This window comes from Homo sapiens, chromosome 1, assembly GCF_000001405.40.
Source record: "Homo sapiens chromosome 1, GRCh38.p14 Primary Assembly".
NCBI classification, from domain to species: Eukaryota; Metazoa; Chordata; class Mammalia; order Primates; family Hominidae; genus Homo; species Homo sapiens.
In genome coordinates, this window is record NC_000001.11 from 146938023 (window position 1) to 146960062 (window position 22040).

The following is a 22040-nucleotide window of genomic DNA, read 5'->3' on the forward strand; positions in this document are numbered from 1 at the left end:
TGCAAACATTTGCCTTAGATAAAATTTCAAGTTTTCAAAGTTTTTAGCTGGGTAGATGGCATGGCTTTACTTCATATTTCTTGGTATTTCCTAATCTTGTTAAAAAAAAGTTTTTCTTTTTCTCAAAGGCTTATTTCAGTGGAAGCCCATCTGCGAAATCTGTTATAAATTTAAATTAGAAAATAAATACAAGTGCCATTGACACGTTGGTTATTGTTTTTGCGAGTGACCTAAGGCCACCTCTCGCGGGAGCTGGGGGCTGCCTTCCGACTCCTGTGCGTCTGCGCCGCGGGCGGAGCCCGGAAGTCAGACTATGGGGCGGTGCGGCAGCGCGAAGCCTGCAGTCCTAAAGGCGGGGTCGCTCCAGGCTTCCGAGGGGGTGTGTCTCCCGCCTCTTTAACCTGGCAGGGGCGGTTCAAGTGGCCGGGGAAATCGGCGAATTGCAGGGTCAAGGGCTGGTGCTTTGAAAGAGAGGCGGAGGGGAGAGAGGGATTTTCCCGTCCCCGCTGCGCTCCGTCCTCCATTACTCGTTTTCTCCGCCCGCGGCCCGAACCCGTTGTGCGGTAGAGGCAGCCGGGTCCCTTTAAGGCCCAGCTGCGCTCCGTCCTCCATTACTCCTTTTCTCCGCCCGCGGCCCGAACCCGTTGTGCGGTAGAGGCAGCCGGGTCCCTTTAAGGCCCAGCTGCGCCTGTGCCTTGGGCTCTCCTGACACGGCCCATCCGGACCCTGAGGAGCCAGCGGGCCGCAAGCAAGTTGCTGGGCGGCGGTTGAGATAGCGGCGGTGCTGGGAGGGGTAGGTGAGGGTCGCGAGGCTGCCTGAGCTTCTGAGTGAGCCTGGTGATTTTGGGAACGCGGGACGGGCGACCTGCGGCGCCAGGAGCGGGGCCGAGGTACGGCGGCACGGCTGCAGCCTGGATGGGAAGTTCAAGTTTACTGCGAAGTCCACCCAGCGTTCCGGAGGTGAGGGCGCCGCGCCAGGCCGGGCGGCAGGTGAGTCTGGGACCTGCGGGCGCACAGCTGGGCTGAGGCGCGGCGCGCTGGGCCGCCGCAAGTTTTGTTACGCGAGCGGGGCGGTTGCGCCGGGCACTGCCGGGCTCCGCAGGGCTCCGCCGGGGCCTAAGTTCCCTGCGCTTGATTCCTCGCCTGCCGCTGCAGCCCACAGCCCTCCTCTCGTGGGCGCTGGGGAAGAAACTCCCTGGCGGGTGTTCTGTGGCATCCCAGGGGGTGGAGGGACGGAGCAGCTTCGGGGGCACGTCTTCGGAAGTCCTGTGGAGCACACTGACTTCGCACCCCACCCTCGAGGCCGTTCCTTCTGGGAACTTGGGCAAGAGCGCTCGCGCCCCTGACTTGCAAAGTTGGGGTCTTTATTGGCCTCCGGGATTCTGCTCCTGGCGGTGTCTCCAGGCTGGTGATGGGCAAGCCAGGTGTGCCAGGTCCAGGATGCATGTGAGGAGCGTTTGTAGCGATCACTGAATCACCTCATGACTAGCGGGGCAAGCCTCCAATTAACCACAGGATTTCTGGTAGGTTGGACTGTGGTGTTGGTGTTTGCAGTCCAAAGAGTTGCTGTGATTTTTCTGTGCCTGTCTGTCTTTCTTTGAGACTTCTTAGATTATCTCATTTGGCGTCCTTTCACCCAAGAGTTAACCAAGCGAGGAATGGTTTCCTCGCTTTCTTCCTACCTTTTGCTGGTGGAGCTGCTTTCGAAAGAAGCACTTTAAGAGGCCGACGCGGGCGGATCATGAGGTCAGGAGATTGAGACCATCCTGGCTAACACTGTGAAACCCCATCTCTACTGAAAATACAAAAAATTAGCCGGGAGTGGTGGCAGGTGCCTGTAGTCCCAGCTACTCGGGAGGCTGAGGCAGGAGACTCGCTTGAACCTGGGAGGCGGAGGTTGCAGTGAGCGGAGATATCTTGTCACTGCACTCCAGCCTGGGTGACAGAGCGAGACTCCCTCTAAAAAAAAAAAAAAGCCTTTTCTTGCAGTGGTATCTTTTCTTTGAGTTACAGTGTTGTTCATCCTTTCTTTGCCGAAAGAATGAATCCCACTGCTTCACGAAGTTAAGGAAAACTGATGTGCTGGTGGTTTTTAATCTTTGTTCTGAGCTGTTATGCATTAATAGCTTTCTTTTTGTTTTTGAATTTAATTAGTAAAATTTCACCAGTGAACCAAAAGCTCTTTTTTTTTCTATTCTAAAATGCTAGCTTTAAGATTTCTGAGAACTTTGTGTCAAAGAAATCTTCGAAAAGTTACTGAAGTATACAGAAGAAGTTCACAATTTTAAACGTGCAGGTGATCTGGGCGTGGTAGATCACACCTGTAATTCCAGCATTTCGGGAGGCCAAGGTGGGCGGATCACTTGAGCCCAGGAGTTCCAGACCAGCCTGGGCAACGTGGCAAAATGCCATCTCTACTAAAAATACAAAAATTAGCTGTGTGTGGTCAACAGAGCCCGGGAGGTTGAGATTGCAGTGAGCAGTGATCGTGCCAGTGCACTCTGGCCTGGATGGCAGAGTGCAACCCTGCCTCAAAAAAAAAAAAAAAAGTACAGGTCATGAGTTTTTACTAAATGAACCACCACAGATTAAGAAATAGAACATTACTATATTGGGGTATATATGTAGAAGTGGCATTGTTGGTTTTAGAGCTATATGAATGATAAAACTTTAGTATTACATATGGCTGAACATTTTCCCAAAGTGTTTTATCAGGTAGCAGGGAATATTCCAGTTACCCCACATCCTTGCTGATGCTTGTCAGTTAAAAATTATTTTGTTATTCTCGTAGAGGTGCAGTAATATATCAATGCGGTTTCAACTTCCATTTTCCTGGTATTGAGATTGAGTATCTTTTATTGCCATTTATATGTCCTCTTTCATGAAGTGCCTGTTAAATCTTTTTATCCAGTTTTCATTGATATGCTTTTCTGTTGATTTGTAATACTTTATTCTGGATATGCATCCTTTCTAGGATATATATGGATTGCATTTCTCTTTTTTCAATCTGCAGCTTGCGTTTTCACTCTTTTAATGATGTTTTTTCATGAATGGAGATTCTCTAATTTTTTTTCTTTTTGAGACAAGATCTCACTCTGTTGCCCAGGCTGGAGTGCAGTGGTACAATCACAGCTTAGTGCAACCTCGACCTCCCAAGGCTCAGGTGATGCTCCTGCCTCAGTCCCCAAGTAGCTGGGACCTACAGGAGACCACTACCATGCTCAGCTGTTTTTTGTATTTTTACTAGACATGGGGTTTTGCCATGTTGCATAGCCCGATACGGAATTCCTGGGCTCAAGTGATACACCTGCCTCGGCCTCCCAAAGTGTTGGGATTATAGGCATGAGCTACTGCACCCGGCCAGAGTATCTTAATTTTAATGAAATATACTTTATCAATCTTTTCCTTTATGGTTACTGCTTATTGTGTCCTGTTTAAGAAATCAATGCCTGGCCAGGTGCGGTGGCTCATGCCTGTAATCCCAGCACTGTGGGAGGCCTAGGCAGGTGGATCACGAGGTCAGGAGTATGAAACCAGCCTGGCCAACATGGTGAAACCCCGTCTCTACTAAAAATACAAAAATTAGCTGGATGTGGTGGCGGGCACCTGTAATCCCAGCTACTCAGGAGGCTGAGGCAGGAGAATTGCTTGAACCCAGGAGGCGGAGGTTGCATTGAGCCGAGATTACACTACTGTACTCCAGCCTGGTTGACAGAGCAAGACTCTGTCTTGTACCAAAAAAAAAAAAAAAAAAAAGAAAGAAAAAAGAAATCAATGCCTAGCCTAAGAATATGAACACACTTTTCTATATTAACCTTATAGCAATTTTATTTTAGTTTTTGCATTTTTTTTTTCAGACAGGGTCTTACTCTGTTGCCCAGGCTGAAGTGTGTTGGCATAATCTCAGCTCACTGCCACCTCCACCTCCTGGCTCAAGCAATCCTCCTGCCTCAGCCTCCTGAGTAGCTGCGACTATAGGCGTGTGCCACCATGCCTGGCTAATTTTTGTATTTTCTGTAGAGATGGGGATTCAACATGTTTCCCAGGTTGGTCTCAAACCCTTGGGCTCAAGTAGTCTGCTTGCTTCAGCCTCCCAAAGTGCTGGGATTACGGCATGCACCACCATGCCCAGCTAATTTTTTATTTTTTGTAGACAGGGTCTTCCTATGGTGCCCAGACTAGTTTCAAACACTTGGGCTCAGTTGATTGTCACACCTTGGCATCCCAAAGTGTTGGGATTACAGGTGTGAGCCATCACATCTGGCCATTTTAGTTTTAATAATTTTTATATTTTTCTAATTTAAAACAGGTACTAAAATTTCTTACAGCTATTATTTGTAAATATAGTATTCATTATTGTTATTATTTTTTTTGTATGTGTTCAATCTCATTTTCAATATAAGCTCCTGGAAATTAGAGATTTTGTTTCTTTTATTCACCACTGTATTCTCAGTACTTGACCTCACCTGGCATGAAACAGATATTGAATAAATATTTGTTAAATGAATGAATGAATGAACATACTAATACCATATTCAGCAATCTCCAAGTGTCACGGTTTTCACCATCTAACAAATAAAATAGCTTGTATAGAGCAGAATCATAGTCAAGCTGCCATAAAAGGAAATGCCAATGAAAAATAAACCTTTGTATGTGTAGCTGCTAAGATTTTGGGGCTTTTGTTACTGCAGCATAACCTAGTGAAAGCTCAGTGAGACAGCCTGTAGAATATACGGGTACAGATAGACCAGATAGACCAGTAGATGAGATTCCAAAGAAGCATTAACTACGCCCACACACTCTTAATTCCCTAACAGAAAGAATCGAATTCTTGTTCACTAAGATCTACCTCAAATATTCCTTACTTTATGAAAACTTCCCTGGCTACTCAAATATTTAGTCAGGACTCTATTTTTTCCCCCCAGGCTGGAGTGCAGTGGTGCCATCATAGCTCACTAACCTCTAACTCAAGGCTCAAGGAATCCTCCTGCCTCAGCCTCCCGAGTAGCTGAGAGTGCAAGTGTGCGCCACCATGCTCGGCTAATTTCTCATTTTTTATTTTCAGAGATGGGGTCTTACTATGTTGCACAGGCTGGTGAGGACTGTTGATTACATATGACAGAAACCCAACCAACTCTAGTTCCCCACCACCTTTCAACCTGCTCCTGCCTGGGTCTTCCCAGTCTCGGTAAATGGCAGCTTCACCCTTCAAGTTGCCCAAGCCCCAAATCTCAATGTTAACCTTGATTTCTCTCTTTTATCTCATAGGCATTCTGAAGGCAAATCCTGTTTAGACCCAGGCAAAGGTTCCTGGTGACCCAGGCTCTCATGAGCAGATTGTCCCTTATCATTCTCCTGAGGATGTCTGGAGCTTCAGTGCTGTGTGCTCTTGGCCTCCACACTGGGGGTGCCACCAACTCCCACTGTCCAGGGCTTCTGGTGGACTCTCCGAGGCACCGATGTAGAAACTTACCCATTCAGTGCACCAAGAGCAGCCTCACATGGTGTGGGCCGACATGAAGAGCTGCCAGATCCAACAGGTAAAAATCCTGAGGCATTGCCAGCTCGATGGGGTCAGAGAGTCCTCTTTCTATTATGACTCAGATGTGAAGGGAAGATGCCAAGGGCCCTAAACATCACAGGGCCTTGCGTGGCATCAAACAGATATTAAATAAATATTTGTTAAATGAATGAACAAATATTCACAGCATGTGCCACCCTGGACTTGTAGTGCCATGGTCGGGTGAAAGTGATTTTACTTCAGGAGAGGACATGTTCTCTTCAGGACTTTTCCTTGGTAGCTAGATCTGCATCCCTCTCCTCTCTCTTCCCCTCTCACCCCCCATTCTCTGCCCCCATTTCTGTCTCTGTTTCCACCCTGCTGTCCTCTTTCACCTGCTTTCTCCTCTTCAGCTTTCATGGCTCACCCCCTCCCTGTCCACCCGCATCCCCCAGGCTAAGGCTCTGCACTGTCCTGGGTGGGGAGATGTGTGTGGTTTTAGGCAGTGCCCTCTAGGTGTGTCCAGGATGGGGAAACATGGCTCAGTTGCCAGTATAATGGGTTAAAAGAGAGACCACTTTTGAAGGCCGATCCCATCTCCCATTCCAGAATCCTGTAGGACTTAGAATTTATGGGCCACAGTGGAATTCTTGGTTCCCCAGGACCTTGTGGTGGACGCCTTCTTTCACTGACCATTCATGGGGTGACTATTAGGTACCATGCCCTGCTCTGGGCTAGAGGCCCCATAATGAGTAAATCTCAGGTCACTACCCCACGGAACCCACCACTGCAGGCATTGAGAGGGGGAGAAAGAAAGGGGCATGGCCTGTTTGTATCCTTCTCACGTGGCCATCCACCAGGTCCTGGGGGAGTGGGAGCCAGTGCAAGGAGGGAAGTCCAGTGAGAATGACAAATGGACGATGTCAGACCCAGGGGCTGAGGCCCCCACCTGCAGCCGGGCAGCTTCTGGAGTGGACAAGGAGCAGCAGGGAAGGTTGCGGCCTGGTGTTCTGGGATCCACTGTCTCATCTCATTCTTTGGGGCACCAGAACTTATCCAAAGACAAGACTCAGTGTCTCTGGCAACAGCGGGCCAGAGGAATAATGTGTTTCAGGAGGAAGAAGGGGTTGTACCCCATGGAAACAGTATATAGTTTTACAGTAGTGCGTCTCTCTCTAATAACTAGTTAGCATGTTCCTGTTAATGGAAATACTGGTGGTGTAAGTTCCCCTGGATGTTCTCATCTTCATGTAAATTTGTTCATTTCCTTCCTTCTTTTCTTCCCTACTTCTCTCCCTTCCCTACTTCCCTCCCACTCTCTTTCTCTCTCTCATTCTTTCCCTCCCTCCTTCCCTTCCACCCTCCCTCCCTTCCTTTCTTCCTCCCTTCCTCCCTCCCTCCCTGCCTCCCTCCCTCCCTCCCTTCTTTTCTTCCTCCCTCCCTTCCTCCCTCCCTCCCTGCCTTCCTTCCTCCCTCCCTCCCTTCCTTCCTCCCTCCCTCCCTTCCTTCCTCCCTCCCTCCCTGCCTTCCTCCCTCCCTCCCTTCTTTTCTTCCTCCCTCCCTTCCTCCCTCCTTCCCTCCCTCCCTCCATTCTTTCCTTTCTTCTTTTCTTTTTCTTTCTCTCTCTCTCATGCTCTCTCTTTTTCTTTCCTTTTTGTTCTACTATTTTAAATAGACCACACTGCACTGAAATCTACATTACTTATCAAAATCTCTGGAGCTGCTTCTGTCTTGTAGGCAGGGAGCTCATCCTGTAGCCCTTAGGTCCTCCCAGCCTCCTCCTCCTCTGATTTGTGGGTGCCACTGGGGCAGCTGCTGAGTCTCAGTGGTTCCTAGTCATCACCAAGTTCTGCCCACCTAGATGGTTTGCACCTGTCCTTACCAGAACCCTGCACTGTCTAGATGACTGAGGCTGCTTCTGCCTAACTGATCTGCTAGCTGTGTTCCGGGGGCACCCCAGGGTTAGAGGTAAATGGCATAGGCGTTGAAATCTCCAACTGCTCTGACTCCAGGTTGGTGCACTTCAATGCCAAGTACTAACCAAACAATAACAGGATGCCACCAAAACCTTGGTAAGGGGCTGCTGCATCCTAATTAAAAAAAAGTAATAGATGTTATTTTTTAGAACAGTTCTAGGTTTACAGAAAAATGGAGTAGATAGTACAGAGAGTTCTCCTAGGCTCCCCTGTCCTCCAGCACACAATTTCCCCTATTAGTATATTGTATTAGTGTGGTCCATTCGTTACAATTGATGAACCACTGTTGATACATCATTATCAACTAAAGTCCATAGTTTACGTTAGAGTTCATTCTTTGAGTTTCACAGATTGTGGGTTTTGGCAATTACGTAATGTCCTAAATCCTCAATACAGCATCATGCAAAATAGTTTCACTGCTGAAAATTCCCTGTGCTTCACCATTTCATGCCTCCTCCTCTCCTCCACCCCTGACAACCACTCATCGTTTTACTACTTCTATCTTTTTGACTTTCCAAGAATGTCCTAGAGTTGGAATTACAGTATGTAGGTTTCCAGACTGGCTTCTTTCTAGCATTATGTACTTTAAGTTCCTCCACGCCTTTTCATGACTTGATAGCTTGTTTTGTAAAATCACTGAATCAGATTTCATTGTATGGCTACAACACAGTTTGTTTATTCATTCACTTGGTGAAAGACGTCTTGGGTACTTCCAAGTTTTGACAATTATGATAAAATTGCTGTAAGTACTTACGTGCAGGATTTTGAATGAACTTAAGTTTTCCAAAGTGACTACACTTTTGATTTCCACTAGCTATGGAGAGTTCTGGTTGTTCCTGATCTTTGACAGCATTTGGTGTGTTCACCGTTTTGTGTTTTAGCCATTCTGATAGGTTTACGGTGATATCTCGTTGTTTTAATGTGCAATTCCCTCACAAATGATTTTGAGCATCTTTCTCATATGCTTATTTGCCATCTGTATATCTTATTAATGAGGTGTTCAGATCTTTCACCTTTTTTTTTTTTTTTTTTTTTTTTTTGCTTTGTGTTGTTTAGTTCTCAGAATTCTTCATATATTTTGGACAGCAGTTTTTCCATCAGATTATTTTGTAAGTATTTTCTCCCAGTCTGTGACTTGCTTTTTCCATTCTCTTAACAGTGTCTTTCACAGAACAGAAGTTTTTAATTTTAATGAGGCTCAACTTAATTTTTTTTCATTAGTAGATTGTGCTTTTGGTTTTGTATTTAAGAAGCCATCATTGAACCCAGGATCCCCGAGATTTTCTCCTATGTTATCTCCTAGGATTCTTATGGTTTTGCACTTACATTTACGTGTAAGATTTATTTTATAAAGGATATAACATGCATACCTGGATTTATTTAGTTTTTTGCATGTGGTTGTCCAGCTGTTCTAGCACCACTAGTTGGAAAGGCTATCTTTGCTGTTTTAAATTGTCTCTAAAGCTCCATGGAAGATCAGTGGACTGTATGTAGGCCTGCTTCTGGGCTCCGTATTCTTTTCCATGCATCTATTTGTGTGTGTTTTCTCTTTTCACCAACTTCACACTATTTGGGTTACTGTAGCTTAATGTAAGTCCTGAAGTTGGTAGTGCCAAACCTCAGGGAGTTTTTCTGAACTTCATCATGAGAACCTGGTTGAGATCATTGTAGTAAAACTTGGAAATGTGTAAGATTCCCCCTTAGTCTGGTCTTCAAGGAGTTTTTAATGTTCTAGCCAGGCTACCCTCAGCTTCTAGTAATCTGTCAATATCATTTAAGTGCTCCTCCCACTTGCTGTCCCCAGTAGCTTCTCTTCCCTGTGACCTGTGACTCCTTATGTGTTAGCCTGTGTTTCTCATTTTTAAGGTGGCAGTTTTCCCTGTGACCTCAATTCTCTGATCCACCCTAGAAGGGTTGACTTTCAGTTTGTTCAGCTTTTTTCTAGCTGTGAGGACAAGTGATGACTGCCTAGCTCTTTCCATGTTGAAATAGAAACCCAAAAGTTTGTTTAAAGAATTACTTGTTATAAAAGTCCCCCATTGTTAATGTACAACTCAATGATGTAAGTTGATTTATCGAATTGTGCAGCCATCAGCAGAGTTCTACTTCAGCACATTTTGTCACTTCCCAAATTCCCTTGAACCTGTTTGTAGTCATTTCCTAATCCCTGGTCCCCATGACTGGGTCTGAATAGAATAAACATTTGGAAAGCAGACTTCATTATATTTACATTTTCCTGTGTTTGGGACTTTATGTAGTGGACTATTGTGTTCGTTTTGTGACAAGTAGAGAAGAGATTGCATTCTAGGGATGGTTTTTGGGGGAACATAATAGTAGTCCTGTTTATGGCTCTCCTTGAATTGGTTCTTCTGTGCTGGTGACTGGTATTTGTTACCAAACCTTGTCTGGTGAGCACAAGAAAAGGAATTTTTTAAAATCTGCTATTAAAATTGAGATGATACATTTTCACATAATAATATTTGGAGTTAAGTAGTGAACCGTCTTTATTTTATTTTATCTCTTTTTTTGGAGATGGAGTTATTTCTCTTTTCCTTGGGCTCGAATGCAACGGCGCCATCTCAGCTCACTGCAACCTCCACCTCCTGAGTTCAAGTGATTCTCCTGCCTCGGCCTCCTGAATAGCTGGGATTACAGGCGCCTGCTACCACACCTGGCTAATGTTTGTATTTTTGGTAGAGACAGGGTTTCTTCATGTTGGCCAGGTTGGTCTCTAACTCTTGACCTCAAGTGATCCACCTGCTTGGCCTCTCAAAGTGCTAGGATTACAGATATGAGCCACGGCCTGACCTGAACTGTGGGGAAAAGAAAGAGAGATCAGATTGTTACTGTGTCTGTGTAGGAAGAAGTAGACATAAGAGACTCCATTTTGTTCTGTACTAAGAAAAATTCTTTTGCCTTGAGACGCTGTTAATCTGTAACCCTACCCCCAACCCTGTGCTCCCTAAGACATGGGCTGTGTCAACTCAGGGTTAAATGGATTAAGGGCTGTTCAGGGTGTGCTTTGTTAAACAAATGCTTGAAGGCAGCATGCTTGTTAAGAGTCATCACCACTCCCTAATCTCAAGTACCCAGAGACACTACACTGCGGAAGACTGCAGGGACCTCTGCCTAGGAAAGCCAGGTATTGTCCAAGGTTTCTCCCCATGTGATAGTCTGAAATACAGCCTCATGGGAAGGGAAAGACCTGACTGTCCCCCAGCCCGACACCCGTAAAGGGTCTGTGCTGAGGAGGATTAGTAAAAGAGGAAGGAAGGCCTCTTTGCAGTTGAGATAAGAGGAAGGCGTCTGTCTCCTGCTCATCCCTGGGCAATGGAATGTCTCGGTGTAAAGCCCGATTGTATATTCCATCTACTGAGATAGGAGAAAACCGCCTTAGGACTGGAGGTGGGACATGCTGGCAGCAATACTGCTCTTTAAGGCATTGAGATGTTTATGTATATGCACATCAAAAGCACAGCACTTTTTTCTTTACCTTGTTTATGATGCAGAGACATTTGTTCACGTGTTTACCTGCTGATCTTCTCTCCACTATTATCCTATTGTCCTGCCACATCCCCCTCTCCGGAAACGCCCGATAATGATCAATAAATACTAAGGGAACTCAGAGGCCAGTGCCGGCATGGGTCCTCCGGCATGGGTCCTCCGTATGCGTTCAGCATACGGTCCCCTGGGCCCATTTTTCTTTCTCTGTACTTTGTCTCTGTGTCTCTTTCTTTTCCAAGTCTCTCCTTCCACCTAACGAGAAACGCCCACAGGTGTGGAGGGGCAACCCATCCCTTCACTGAACCATTTTTATTCTTTCAGAAATGTGATTGATAACAGTAAAGCCACACTCCTCAAGTGCCTGAAATACCCCTCATTGTCTTCTTCAGGTGGCAAGGGCTCTGGAACAGCCACATAAAGGTGAGGGCAATATTTTTACTGTAGTTCTTTCATTGATTGGTCGATTGATTGATTTTTTTCTCTTAGAGGGTTAGCATACATTTATCTGAAATTGAAATTCAAGAGGAGAGACAGGCACCTGTACTAGTTTTCTCTCGCTGCCTATTATCACATTACCACAAACCAGTGGTTTGAAACCACAGAAGTCTGGAATGAAGCGGCCGGGTTCTCTGATCAGAGTCATGTGAGACTAAAATCCGGGAATGGGCTGGCTATGTTTTTTTCCTAGAGCTCAAGCTATTTTTCCAGGTTCACTACAGATAATGAAAGAGTTCCTATTCTTGTTTGTGGGGGACTGAGGGCCCTTTTTCTGTGCTGGCTGTCAGCAGGGAGACACTCTACTCTGACTCCAGAGGCCACGTGCTTTCCTCCTTACCTGTCTGTTTCATCTTTCAACCAATAACAACTTATGGAGTCCTTCTCAAGCTCCCACCTTCTCTGACTTCATCTTCTCCAACCAGCCACACAAAGCTCTGTCATGTGTGGAGTGATGTGATTAGATCCAGTTCATGCGGTAACCTCACCATCTTAAAGTCATATAACTGGCATATAACAACATAGTCACAGGAATGGTGTCTCATCACGTTAAGAGGCTTTAGAGACAAGGGTGTGGCATGTTTGGGGACCATTTCAGAAATTCCATCTACCACAGTAGGACACGCACATTCCCCCATCTGCAAAGTGCATTTACCCTCTCCCCTGAGGTTTCCAGATTTCATGTCATTAAAGCATTAGTTCAACATGAAAAATGTCATGTAGACCACATCAGATCAAAAGTTTAAAATCCCATCTAAAACATCCACACCAGGTGTGAATGAGGCTTCCGAGAGTGTCCATTAAGTGCAGATCCTTGACATAATTCCCTTACCTCTGTCGACCTGTGAAACTGAACAAACAGCTTATCTGTCCCTAATGTGAAATGATGGGACAGACATAGAATAACAACTACAGTGATTCTAGTTCAAAATGAGGGAACATGGAGGGGATAAAGAAGTCACTAACCCAAAATAGTTTGGAAATGGAGCTGGGCAAAATCCAGCAGGAGTTTCTTAGTTAGGATCCACAGCCTGGGACTGACCCTCTGTCCTGTGGGTCTTTGCCTCTGGGCTCTCTGCTCTGCATTTCTTGAAACCATTATTATTTATCATTTTTCTCACACTCTTTTGCGTATGGCTCCTATTGCACTCAAAATGTTTTTGAGATTCATCCATGTTGTTTTGTGTGTCAAAAGTTTGTTCCTTTAGCCATTCCATGGAATGAATGTATCACATTCTTGTATTGATAGATATTTGAATGTATATTTGAATGTATATTGATAGATATTTGAATACAAGAATGTATCCATTCTTGTATTGATAGATATTTGAATGTTTCCAGTTTTTCCTATTACGAATAAAACTGCTATGGACATTCTTGTATATATCATTTTCTGCACATATGTTTTAATTTCTCTTGGATAAATGCTTAGGAATTACTGAGTCATAGAATAGGTAGTTGTTTAGTTCTGTAAGAATATGCCAGACATTTTTTCCCAAAGTGTTTATACTATTGTACATTCCAACCATTAATGTATGAAGGTGAGAAAGCTTTTGCTACTTCCAAAGAGGCCTCTCTATATACATGTAATTTTTTCTAACTGGAGACAGGCTGATGACTTCAGGGACATGAGCATGGGATACCTGTCATCACCACCACCATGAAGTTGGGATTCAGGAAGGAGTTTAATCATATAAAGAATCCTGTGACCAGTATGAGCTTCTCTCAGGCCACACAGGGCACTCAAGTGAACAGGGCATGGGGGCCCTGGGGTCATGGTAAGAAAGTGTCTCATTGGTAAAACCTTTTCCTCTGGGGAGGTAAATAAATTATTTGTTTCTTCTTGGTAGCCCTTGAAGATAAGGATGGTCAAACAAAATAATATCATACCTGGAGAAACTCAGATCTTGCTAAGATTTACTGGTTGGGAATCCAAAGTTAATGCCAAGAAGCAGCTGCCAGTTGGGATCAAATGTGAGCCTATGGATCAAGGTGCGTACTCAAACACAGAGAGCTTTCTGAAAGATGCTACCAGTAGTTTTTCCAGGGCAGAGATGTGTCCTTTATTTTTCTCTCTAATCTAGCCCATATGCTTAGCTGAGTTTTCTTCATATCACTTTAAATGATGATGTCCCTTGTTCAACAATTTTCTAAACATTCTTTAGATAATAATTTTATGGGCATTCTTTATTGCATTAGGCTTAAATTTAATGTATCTTAAGGTTTTATTGCAAAATATTGCCTTGTTTCCTTTTTAAGATGATACAATTTATAATATGCAAATTTGCTGTCTGTCCCCTCCCTTTATGTACATAGAAAATGAGCAAACAGGTGGCCATGAAACAGATGGTCATAGAATTGTTTCAGTGCTTGTGAGTGCAGCAACCCAAGAGTGTCTTATCTGAAATACCACCAGGAATGTCTGGACACAGTAGACAAAGGTTTTTCAACTGGATGCCTTAGGATACATGCTTCCAAAAACAAAGTAGCCAAAAAGAAACCAGAGTCACAGAATATCAGAGCCAGAGGAACATTTGGAGGTAATTCAGTACCTCCTCCTTTTCAGCCTACAGGGGAGATAGTGGAAGAGAAGCAGGGATGGGTCTGCCTTCTGTGCCCACAATTCATTGGAGATTGTTGTGGTGAAGAATTTCTTTTATGATGAAGGAGAAATAAACTCCCATCAGCTTTAATTCAGGCAGGTTTATTGAAAAGGTGAAGAAGCATCTTGCAGAAGCAAAGCATGGCTGAGGCTTGTGGGCTCTGTCTGGACAAATGAGCAGCTGACAGTGGCTGGTGCTGCCCCTGACTCTAGGGCCGTGTGGTCTGTGGTTCTCTGTGAGCATCTCTTCTATTCTCTTGCATCGTCCCTCAGCCTGGCAGTCTCTGTGTACTCTTCAAAACATAATTGAGCGAGGCTGTACCAGCCCCAATGCCGTGTAGCACTTTATGTCAAATTAGAAAGGCATGAAATAAACTGGCCCTTTATAATACAACTGTTGGAACAACAGTTGAAAATAACAATATCTTGACTCCTGGTTGAGTGCTTTATGCTGAGCTTTCTTTTCTGAATATGAGCACAGACTTGGGGATATTAGTGTCACCTAGCGTTATTAGCTAGTATTCTCCTTTTGTTTCCCCATAACATCCCCTCCTCCTTCCCACAGATCCACTTTCCACTCATTTCCATCCTGTCTTACGCCACTTGGGGCTTGTCCCTTCTAGAATGCATCCCTGGCTCCCCTGTGTGCACACTTCTAGTTAGGTTTAGCAATGTGGGCACCCGATGGAGCCTGGAAGTGAGAGGAAGGTGAGGTCCGTATTTCTTCCCTCTCCCTCCCTGCTCTGGCACTGAGTATCTGGCAATAGCTGCATCTGTCTATTACTTCAGTGGCCACTCTTCCACAGCCCCAATTCTCAGTGGGTCCCATAGCATTATTTACCTTTGTTCCTTTAGCTCCCACCAAGGAAGACCCAGAGGCATTCTCCTCACCAAGGCATTAAGAAATGCATGGGTGAGGGGAACAGCGGCGTGCCTGTAAAGGTCCTGTGGCGCCTCTCCTCTACAGGCTGGAGGTCATGGCGGGAGATGCTGCATGGATTTGCCCTCCCTGCTGTCAGAACAACAGGATTCTGGAAGAGTCTCAGAGGACAGGCCGTGGGACTTGGCTGTCTAGAGACAAGGCGGGAGGGATTTCCTTGAGAGGCAGGGACATGTGGTGGTTACTAATCATTGTGAGGTGTCTGGGATGTAATGGATGGGAAATCTACTAAGAAGTCAACTTATGTAATAATTAGAAAAGCTCTAGTTCTGAGGACAGAGACCTGTTGGAGTCACCATAGTGGAAATTTATGACCTGGTATCCAGTTCAGATACCTGGAGCTTCTTGACTGGGGGGAGATTGGATCCCTTGGGGAAGAGTGAAGCCTTCAATGCTGCCACAAGTGTGATCCGCCCGCCTCAGCCTCCCAAAGTGCTGGGATTACAGGCGTGAGCCACCATGCCCGGCCTCTTTTTTATATTTAAAAAATATCATTTTATATATTATCAGGGCAAAAGAGAAAAACCGTATGATTACCTTGTCATACACAGTAAAAGCATTTGGCAAAATTGAAAACTTTTTTCATGATTTATAAAAACAAACCCCAGAAAATGCTCAGCATGATGAGAACAGAAGGCAACACTTCCAACCCCATTAAGGGCAGATTTGAAGAACCCACAAGTAACATTATATTAAATGGCATAAGATTGAATGCTTTTCTATTAAATCAGAGAAAAAAGTAGAATACCTGTTGTTACTCTTTTAATTCAGCATTATACTAGAGCTCTAAGTCAATGCAATAAAGTAAGAAAAATTAATAAAGTATTGAAAGAATTGAAGCTGTCTTTATTCACAGATAATGACTGTGTTTGTTAACAATGCTAGAAATCTACAAAAATCTACCAGAACTAATCAGTGAGTTTGGTAGTGTTGCAGAATGTAAGCTCTCAATGTAAGTGGTCTTTTGTATTTCTGTATATTAGCAATGAGCATTTGGAAAATGAAATAAGAATACAATTTCATTTAAAGTAACATCTAAATACATGTTGTGCTTATAAATAAATTCAACAGACTGGGCACCATGGCTCACACTTGTAATCTCAGCACTTTGGGAAGCCGAGGTGGGCAGATCATGAGGTCAGGAGATGGAGACCATCACGCCTAACACAGTGAAACCCCATCTCTACTAAAAATACAAAAAATTAGCTAGGCGTGGTGGCATGTGCCTGTAGTCCAGCTACTTGGGAGGCTGAGGCAGGAGGATCACTTGAACCTGGGAGGCAGAGGTTACAGTGAGCCGAGATCGCATCACTGCACTCCAGCCTGGGTAACAGAGCAAGACTCTGTCTCAAAAAAAAAAAAAAAAAAAAAAAAGGAAAGTCAACAAAATTTATGTAAGGCCAGTACACCAAAAACTACAAAAAATTGCTTTGAGAAATTATGAAAGAACTAAATTAGTGGGGAGATAAACCTTGTCATGGATCAGAAGAGTTGTTATGTTTAAAGAGTCAGTTCTTCGTAAATTGATCTCCAGATCCAATGCAATTCTAATAAAAATTCCAAGCGGCATTTTGGTAGAAATTTTCAAGCTGATTCTACCATTTATATGGTAATGTCAATGATCAAGAATAATAAAATAGCAATATTATAAAAGAATAATGGTGAATGAATTCACTACCTATTTCCAGAATTACTCTACATACAGCTATGAAAATCAAGATTATGTGTTTTGTTGAAAAAAAAATAGAATATATATCAGTGGAAGAGAAGAGAGAATCCAGAAATAGATACTCACATGTATGTCTAATTGATTCTTAGGACATATATATATGTATACACACCCACACACACACACACAAACGTGTGTGTGTGTGTGTGTGTGTATATATATATATTCACCGTTTTGAAGATTATCATCTCCAAATAGGGAATATATATATATATATATATATATATATATATATATATATATATACACACACACACACATATATATATTGCAGTCTGATAAGATAAACAGCACAATGAAACAATTTCTCAAAAGACTTGAATAGATACTTCAGAAAAGAAGATACATGAATGGTCAATTAGCATAGGAAAAGATGCTCCACTGTTTAGTCATCAGGGAGATCAATCAGTGCAACAATGAGATACCAGTACATATCCATAAGAATGGCTAAAATTAAAAAGGCTGAAAATAGCACATGTTGGTGAGGATATAAAGCACTTGGAAGTCTTATACTTGTAGGAATGAAAAATGGTATTGCTCCTTTGAAAATCTAACAGTTTCTTAAAGGTTAAACATAACACAAATCAGATAGACAGTCATTCCATTCCTAGGAATTTACACACTGTGTCTGCACAATGATCTGTATGTGTGTTTCCAGACCAACCTGAGGGGCGGGCTGCTATTTCTCGTGGCTCAGTAACGAGACACAGATGAACTGGGGAGGAAGAGAGTTTTGACTTCTGCAACTGGTTACAGGGAAACGGCCTGGAAATTATCACCAGACCAACTCAAAATTGGAAAGTTTTCCTGAGCTAATGTACCTTCTAAGCTATATGTGTATGTGGAAGTGTGCATTCATCTAAATACATAAGTGATTAACTTCTTTTAATCTATAACTAAGTCTGAGTCCTAAAGACCTTCCTCTGGAACCTCAGTTAAATTCACTTAATCTAAGTGGGTCTAGGTGCTGGGGGCCCTTATCTTGTCTCCTGCTAAATCACAGAGGTTTGGAGAGTCCCTTCAGATCTCCAATAAACTTGTTTGTGGAGGCCTGGGGAGTTTCTTCAGACCCCCAGTAAAACTCGTTTAATACTAAATGGCTCCTGTTAAGAATGCCTTCGTTATTTCGTCATGCTTTAAGGCCCAGGAAAAACCTAGGCAAAACTCTTGGTGGGCTTTTGTTACATTCCAGCCTTTGTATAAGGGCACTGGCTTCTTTTTTTTTTTCCTCTTAATATTTAATTGAACCACTCAGTCGCTACTGAAACAGTTGTTAGGGAGGCCTGTGTTAGTGAGACCTGGCCTGCTACGTATGGATGCTCATGATAGTTTCTTCATAATAGCCCAAACGCGGAATGATAGAAATGTCCAATAATAAGTGAAAGTACAAACATACATGGTATAGCCACATGAAGGAATACTACTCAGTCTTTACAAGACATTACAGATGGATTTTAAAATTACATTGATGCATGAAAGAAGGCAGACACAAAAGAACACAGGTATCATTTCATTTGTAGAAAATGGTTAAAAATGCAAACGGACCTGAAGTGACAGTGGCTCCTTGGGGCTGAGGGTTGAAAGGCTGATGAACTGCAAAGGGGTACAAGAAACTTTGGGGCATAGGGAATTTCCTCTATCTTGGTTGTGGCAGTAGTTCCGTTAGTGCATCCATTTGTAAACGTGCATTGAATTACACATTTTAAAGTGGTGCAGTCTGTTGTACCGAAATTATGCCTTTATAAAGTTGATTTCATCATCTTAATTTCTCCATACTAGCAATTAGCAGCTAGAAAATGAAATTCAATAAAACATAATAGAGATTAATAGCCAGAATCATTACATGCTTAACAACACATGCAATGAAGCAGGTACGAGGCCCCTAAAAGCAATTGGTGAGAAAAATTAAAGAAGGCTAAATAAATATATATCATGTTCATTGATTGGAAGACTCAATTTTGTTAGCATATTACATCAACACAATTCTGATTAATATTTCTAGTAGGAGATTTTAGAGAAATTTGAAAGCTAGTTTCAAAATGTATTTGAAAATCAAAGAACCTAGAATAAGCAAGTCGGTCTTGAAGAAGCAATAAGTTGGAGGACTTGCTCTGCTAGATTTCAAACCTGATTTTAAAGCTACAGTAATTTAAAAACAGTAGTAATGGTGTAAGTATTCATAAATATATCAAAGTAAAAGAATACAGATTCAAACAATATGCCCACATATGTACAGTTATTGATTTTTTTTAGTAGAATCTTTTTTATTCATAAAAAATCCATCAAAACAAAAAAGTTTTCCAGCCACACACAGGAGGGGTATGGGTGGGGGAAGGTGTCTGTCCATCTATCCCTGGCCCCCAGCCCATGTGGTTTTGGCAGCAATAAGGTGTGTGGGGTAATGACTCCTGAAATTAAAATGGTGTGTGTATGTGAAGGAAAGGCGGGCAAAGCTGTGGGGAGCGGTGGAGTGGAAGGAACAAAGGAGGTCAGTACTGGGAACGCTGAAGGTGGGAGGCCATTTCATAACATTACTTGTTGATGAAATTGCCATGGATACCTTCTTTGCCCATCAGCAGGCCTAGCGTCTTGGCAGTCATGGTGACAATGACGTTGAAGGTGGGGGCTCCACTGATGCTCTTCATACAAAGATCCGTGGTCAATTCCCCATCCTGCAGCAGTGAGTCCAGGACCACAGTATATTTCTGGCCCCCCAGTGTCAGCCCATTCATGACAAAGCTTGACCAGTCTTTGCCAACCAGGGCACCAACCTCAGCTGGCGTGATGTTGAGGAAGGTTTTCCCTGGGACGGTGGCACAGATGGAAGGTGGGTCCTTGTTGCCCACAATGGCCGTGTCCTAACAGGTCCCGTCCGCCACGAGGCTGTAGATGGAGGTGTCCACCTGGCCTTTGCGTTGCTGCAGGGGCTCCTCTGGTCGCTGCTGCTGGGGCCGCCTGGGCTGGCAGGTGGGGGAGGCGGAGAGCTCGATGCAGGTGCTGTCCTCCTCGCCACGACTCTGCTAGCTGTGCAGTAGCCCTCGCTCCGCCACTTAAAAAAGAAAAAAAAAATATAATATATATATATATACACGTGTTATATATATTGTATATTATGTATATACACATATATATACACGTATGTATATACACGTATATAATATATATTCGTGTGTGTATATATATTTTATATATACGTGTATACATGTATATATGTGTGTGTATATATATATATACATGTGTATATATAAATAATACATATACACGTGTATATATATTATATACATATACACACGTGTGCCATGTTGGTTTGCTGCACCCATTAACTCGTCATTTACACTAGGTATATATCCTAATGCTATCCCTCCCCCAGCCCTCACCCCATGACAGGCCCTGGTGTGTGATGTTCCCCGCCCTGTGTCCAAGTGTTCTCATTGTTCAATTCCCACCCATGAGTGAGAACATGCTCGCACCGCCGCTTCTAAATGTTTTAAAAACAAAGACACCAATGCCCTTCATTGGGGAAATGAAAGACTTTTAAGTAAAACGATTTTGAGTGAAATAATATTTGTTGTTTTAAACAGTTAATATTAACCACTCTCCATCATATATTGAAATTAACTTAAGATGTGAAAGTTAAAATTAGAAACCTTGTAAAGGAAAAATAGGAAATAGTTTCATGAACTTGACACAGGAAAATATTTCTTAGACTAGATACTGTAGCACTCACCACAATAAGAAATCAAGCGAATTGCACTTCATTTTTAAAAAGCTTCTCCTTATTATGTTGTTGTTTAACAACTTAAACGCTATCTCTAGACCAGGAATAATTATTTGCTATATAATACAGCAAAAAATATGTATGTATAAATGGACTCATTCAAAATATATAAAGAACTCCTATTACAAAGAAATTGACAAACAGCCCAGTATATCAATGAATATAAAAATTTGAGAAGATATTTTCCATAAGAAGATATCTAAATGAACATTAGGCATGAGAAAACCAAATTTTAGGATATCACTACACACCTGGCATAGTTTAAAAGACTGAAAATATTAAGTGTGTGGGAATGTAGAGCAACTGGAAATGGCCTACATCTTTCATAGAAATGTAAAACAATACAAATACTTTGCAAAACTCTGTCCAACATTTTCTACCCATTCACCAAGCAACTCCATCCCTAGCTATAGATACCCAGGAAAATAAGTATGTATCTTCACAGAAATAATTGTATGAGAATATTCATAGTTACTTATGCACAGTAGTTATCAAGTAAACCTGTCTCCCATCAGAAAAATGGATATCAAATTGTGTGATAATCATACAATCAATAGGATATTACTTGGCCAAAACAAAATGAAACAAGGGAAAAACACAATCAAACAAATTAGTGGCATATATTCCCACCTGAGTAAAGAGAAGTCGGCCGTGTGCGGTGGCTCACGCCTGTAATCCCAGCACTTTTGGAGGCCGAGGCGGCAGATCACGAGGTCAGGAGATCGAGACCATCCTGGCTAACACAGTGAAACCCCGTCTCTACTAAAAATACAAAAAAAAAAAAATGAAAAATTAGCCGGGCGTGGTGGCGGGCGCCTGTATTCCCAGCTACTTGGGAGTCTGAGGCAGGAGAATAGCGTGAACCTGGGAGGCAGAGCTTGCAGTGAGCCTAGATCGCGTCACTGCACTCCAGCCTGGGCGACAGAGTGAGACTCTGTCTCAAAAAAAAAAAAAAAAAAAGTCAAAACAAGAGAACATACTAAATGATTCCATTTTTTTATTTATGACTTCATGACTACCATTAAGAAAATATAACCTGTTGGGAAACTGTTTCTGCCTTGATGATGTTGTACAGACAAGAGATAAACAGTGAGGAATATGCTTAGATGTATTGGGAAAGACACGGGTCTGTGGCATTGTCACAAGGGTACACGAATACTGAGAGTGAATGCTGAAGGAATGATCCCCATTGGTGGTGACCCTCAGGTGAGACTAGGGTGCCTGTGTTTCAGCAAAGCCTGGGCAATTGGAATGCAGGGCTCCTAAGATTCCATGACACCCCTACCTTCTAATTCTGTTATTGCAACTGCAGACGGTTACCTGGCACGCTGGCCACAATCTACCTCACTCTTATCAGAGTCTGAGCAGTGCTTTCAGCTCTGAGTTGAGGCACCTCGAACCTTGTTTTTGTGGTGAAGGATCCTAAAGTGCTGTGGGGAGTGATCACATTTTTCACAACAGTAAGTTAAGAATTTCAGTTACTGACATCCCTCAGTCCTGATTAAACCTATTTGAT

At 43.2% G+C, this 22040-nt stretch overlaps 1 protein-coding gene and 1 pseudogene across 2 annotated transcripts in view; one reads left to right on the forward strand and one right to left on the reverse strand.

Moving 5' to 3' along the window:
* Nucleotides 1-301: 301 nt before the first annotated feature.
* The window catches only part of NBPF12 (NBPF member 12), a 57875-nt gene continuing 36136 nt past the window's right edge, over nucleotides 302-22040 (forward strand). The window contains exons 1-6 of one of the 2 annotated variants that reach the window (NM_001278141.3): nucleotides 302-990; nucleotides 5269-5540; nucleotides 8533-8585; nucleotides 11302-11400; nucleotides 13326-13467; nucleotides 21837-21984. The gene's annotated coding sequence lies outside the window, so the exon portion shown is untranslated. Of the gene's footprint in view, nucleotides 991-5268; nucleotides 5541-8532; nucleotides 8586-11301; nucleotides 11401-13325; nucleotides 13468-21480; nucleotides 21985-22040 lie in introns of those variants that run through there. The other variant, XM_047447088.1, reaches the window with a different exon arrangement.
* On the reverse strand, nucleotides 19239-19646 carry PFN1P8 (profilin 1 pseudogene 8; annotated as a pseudogene).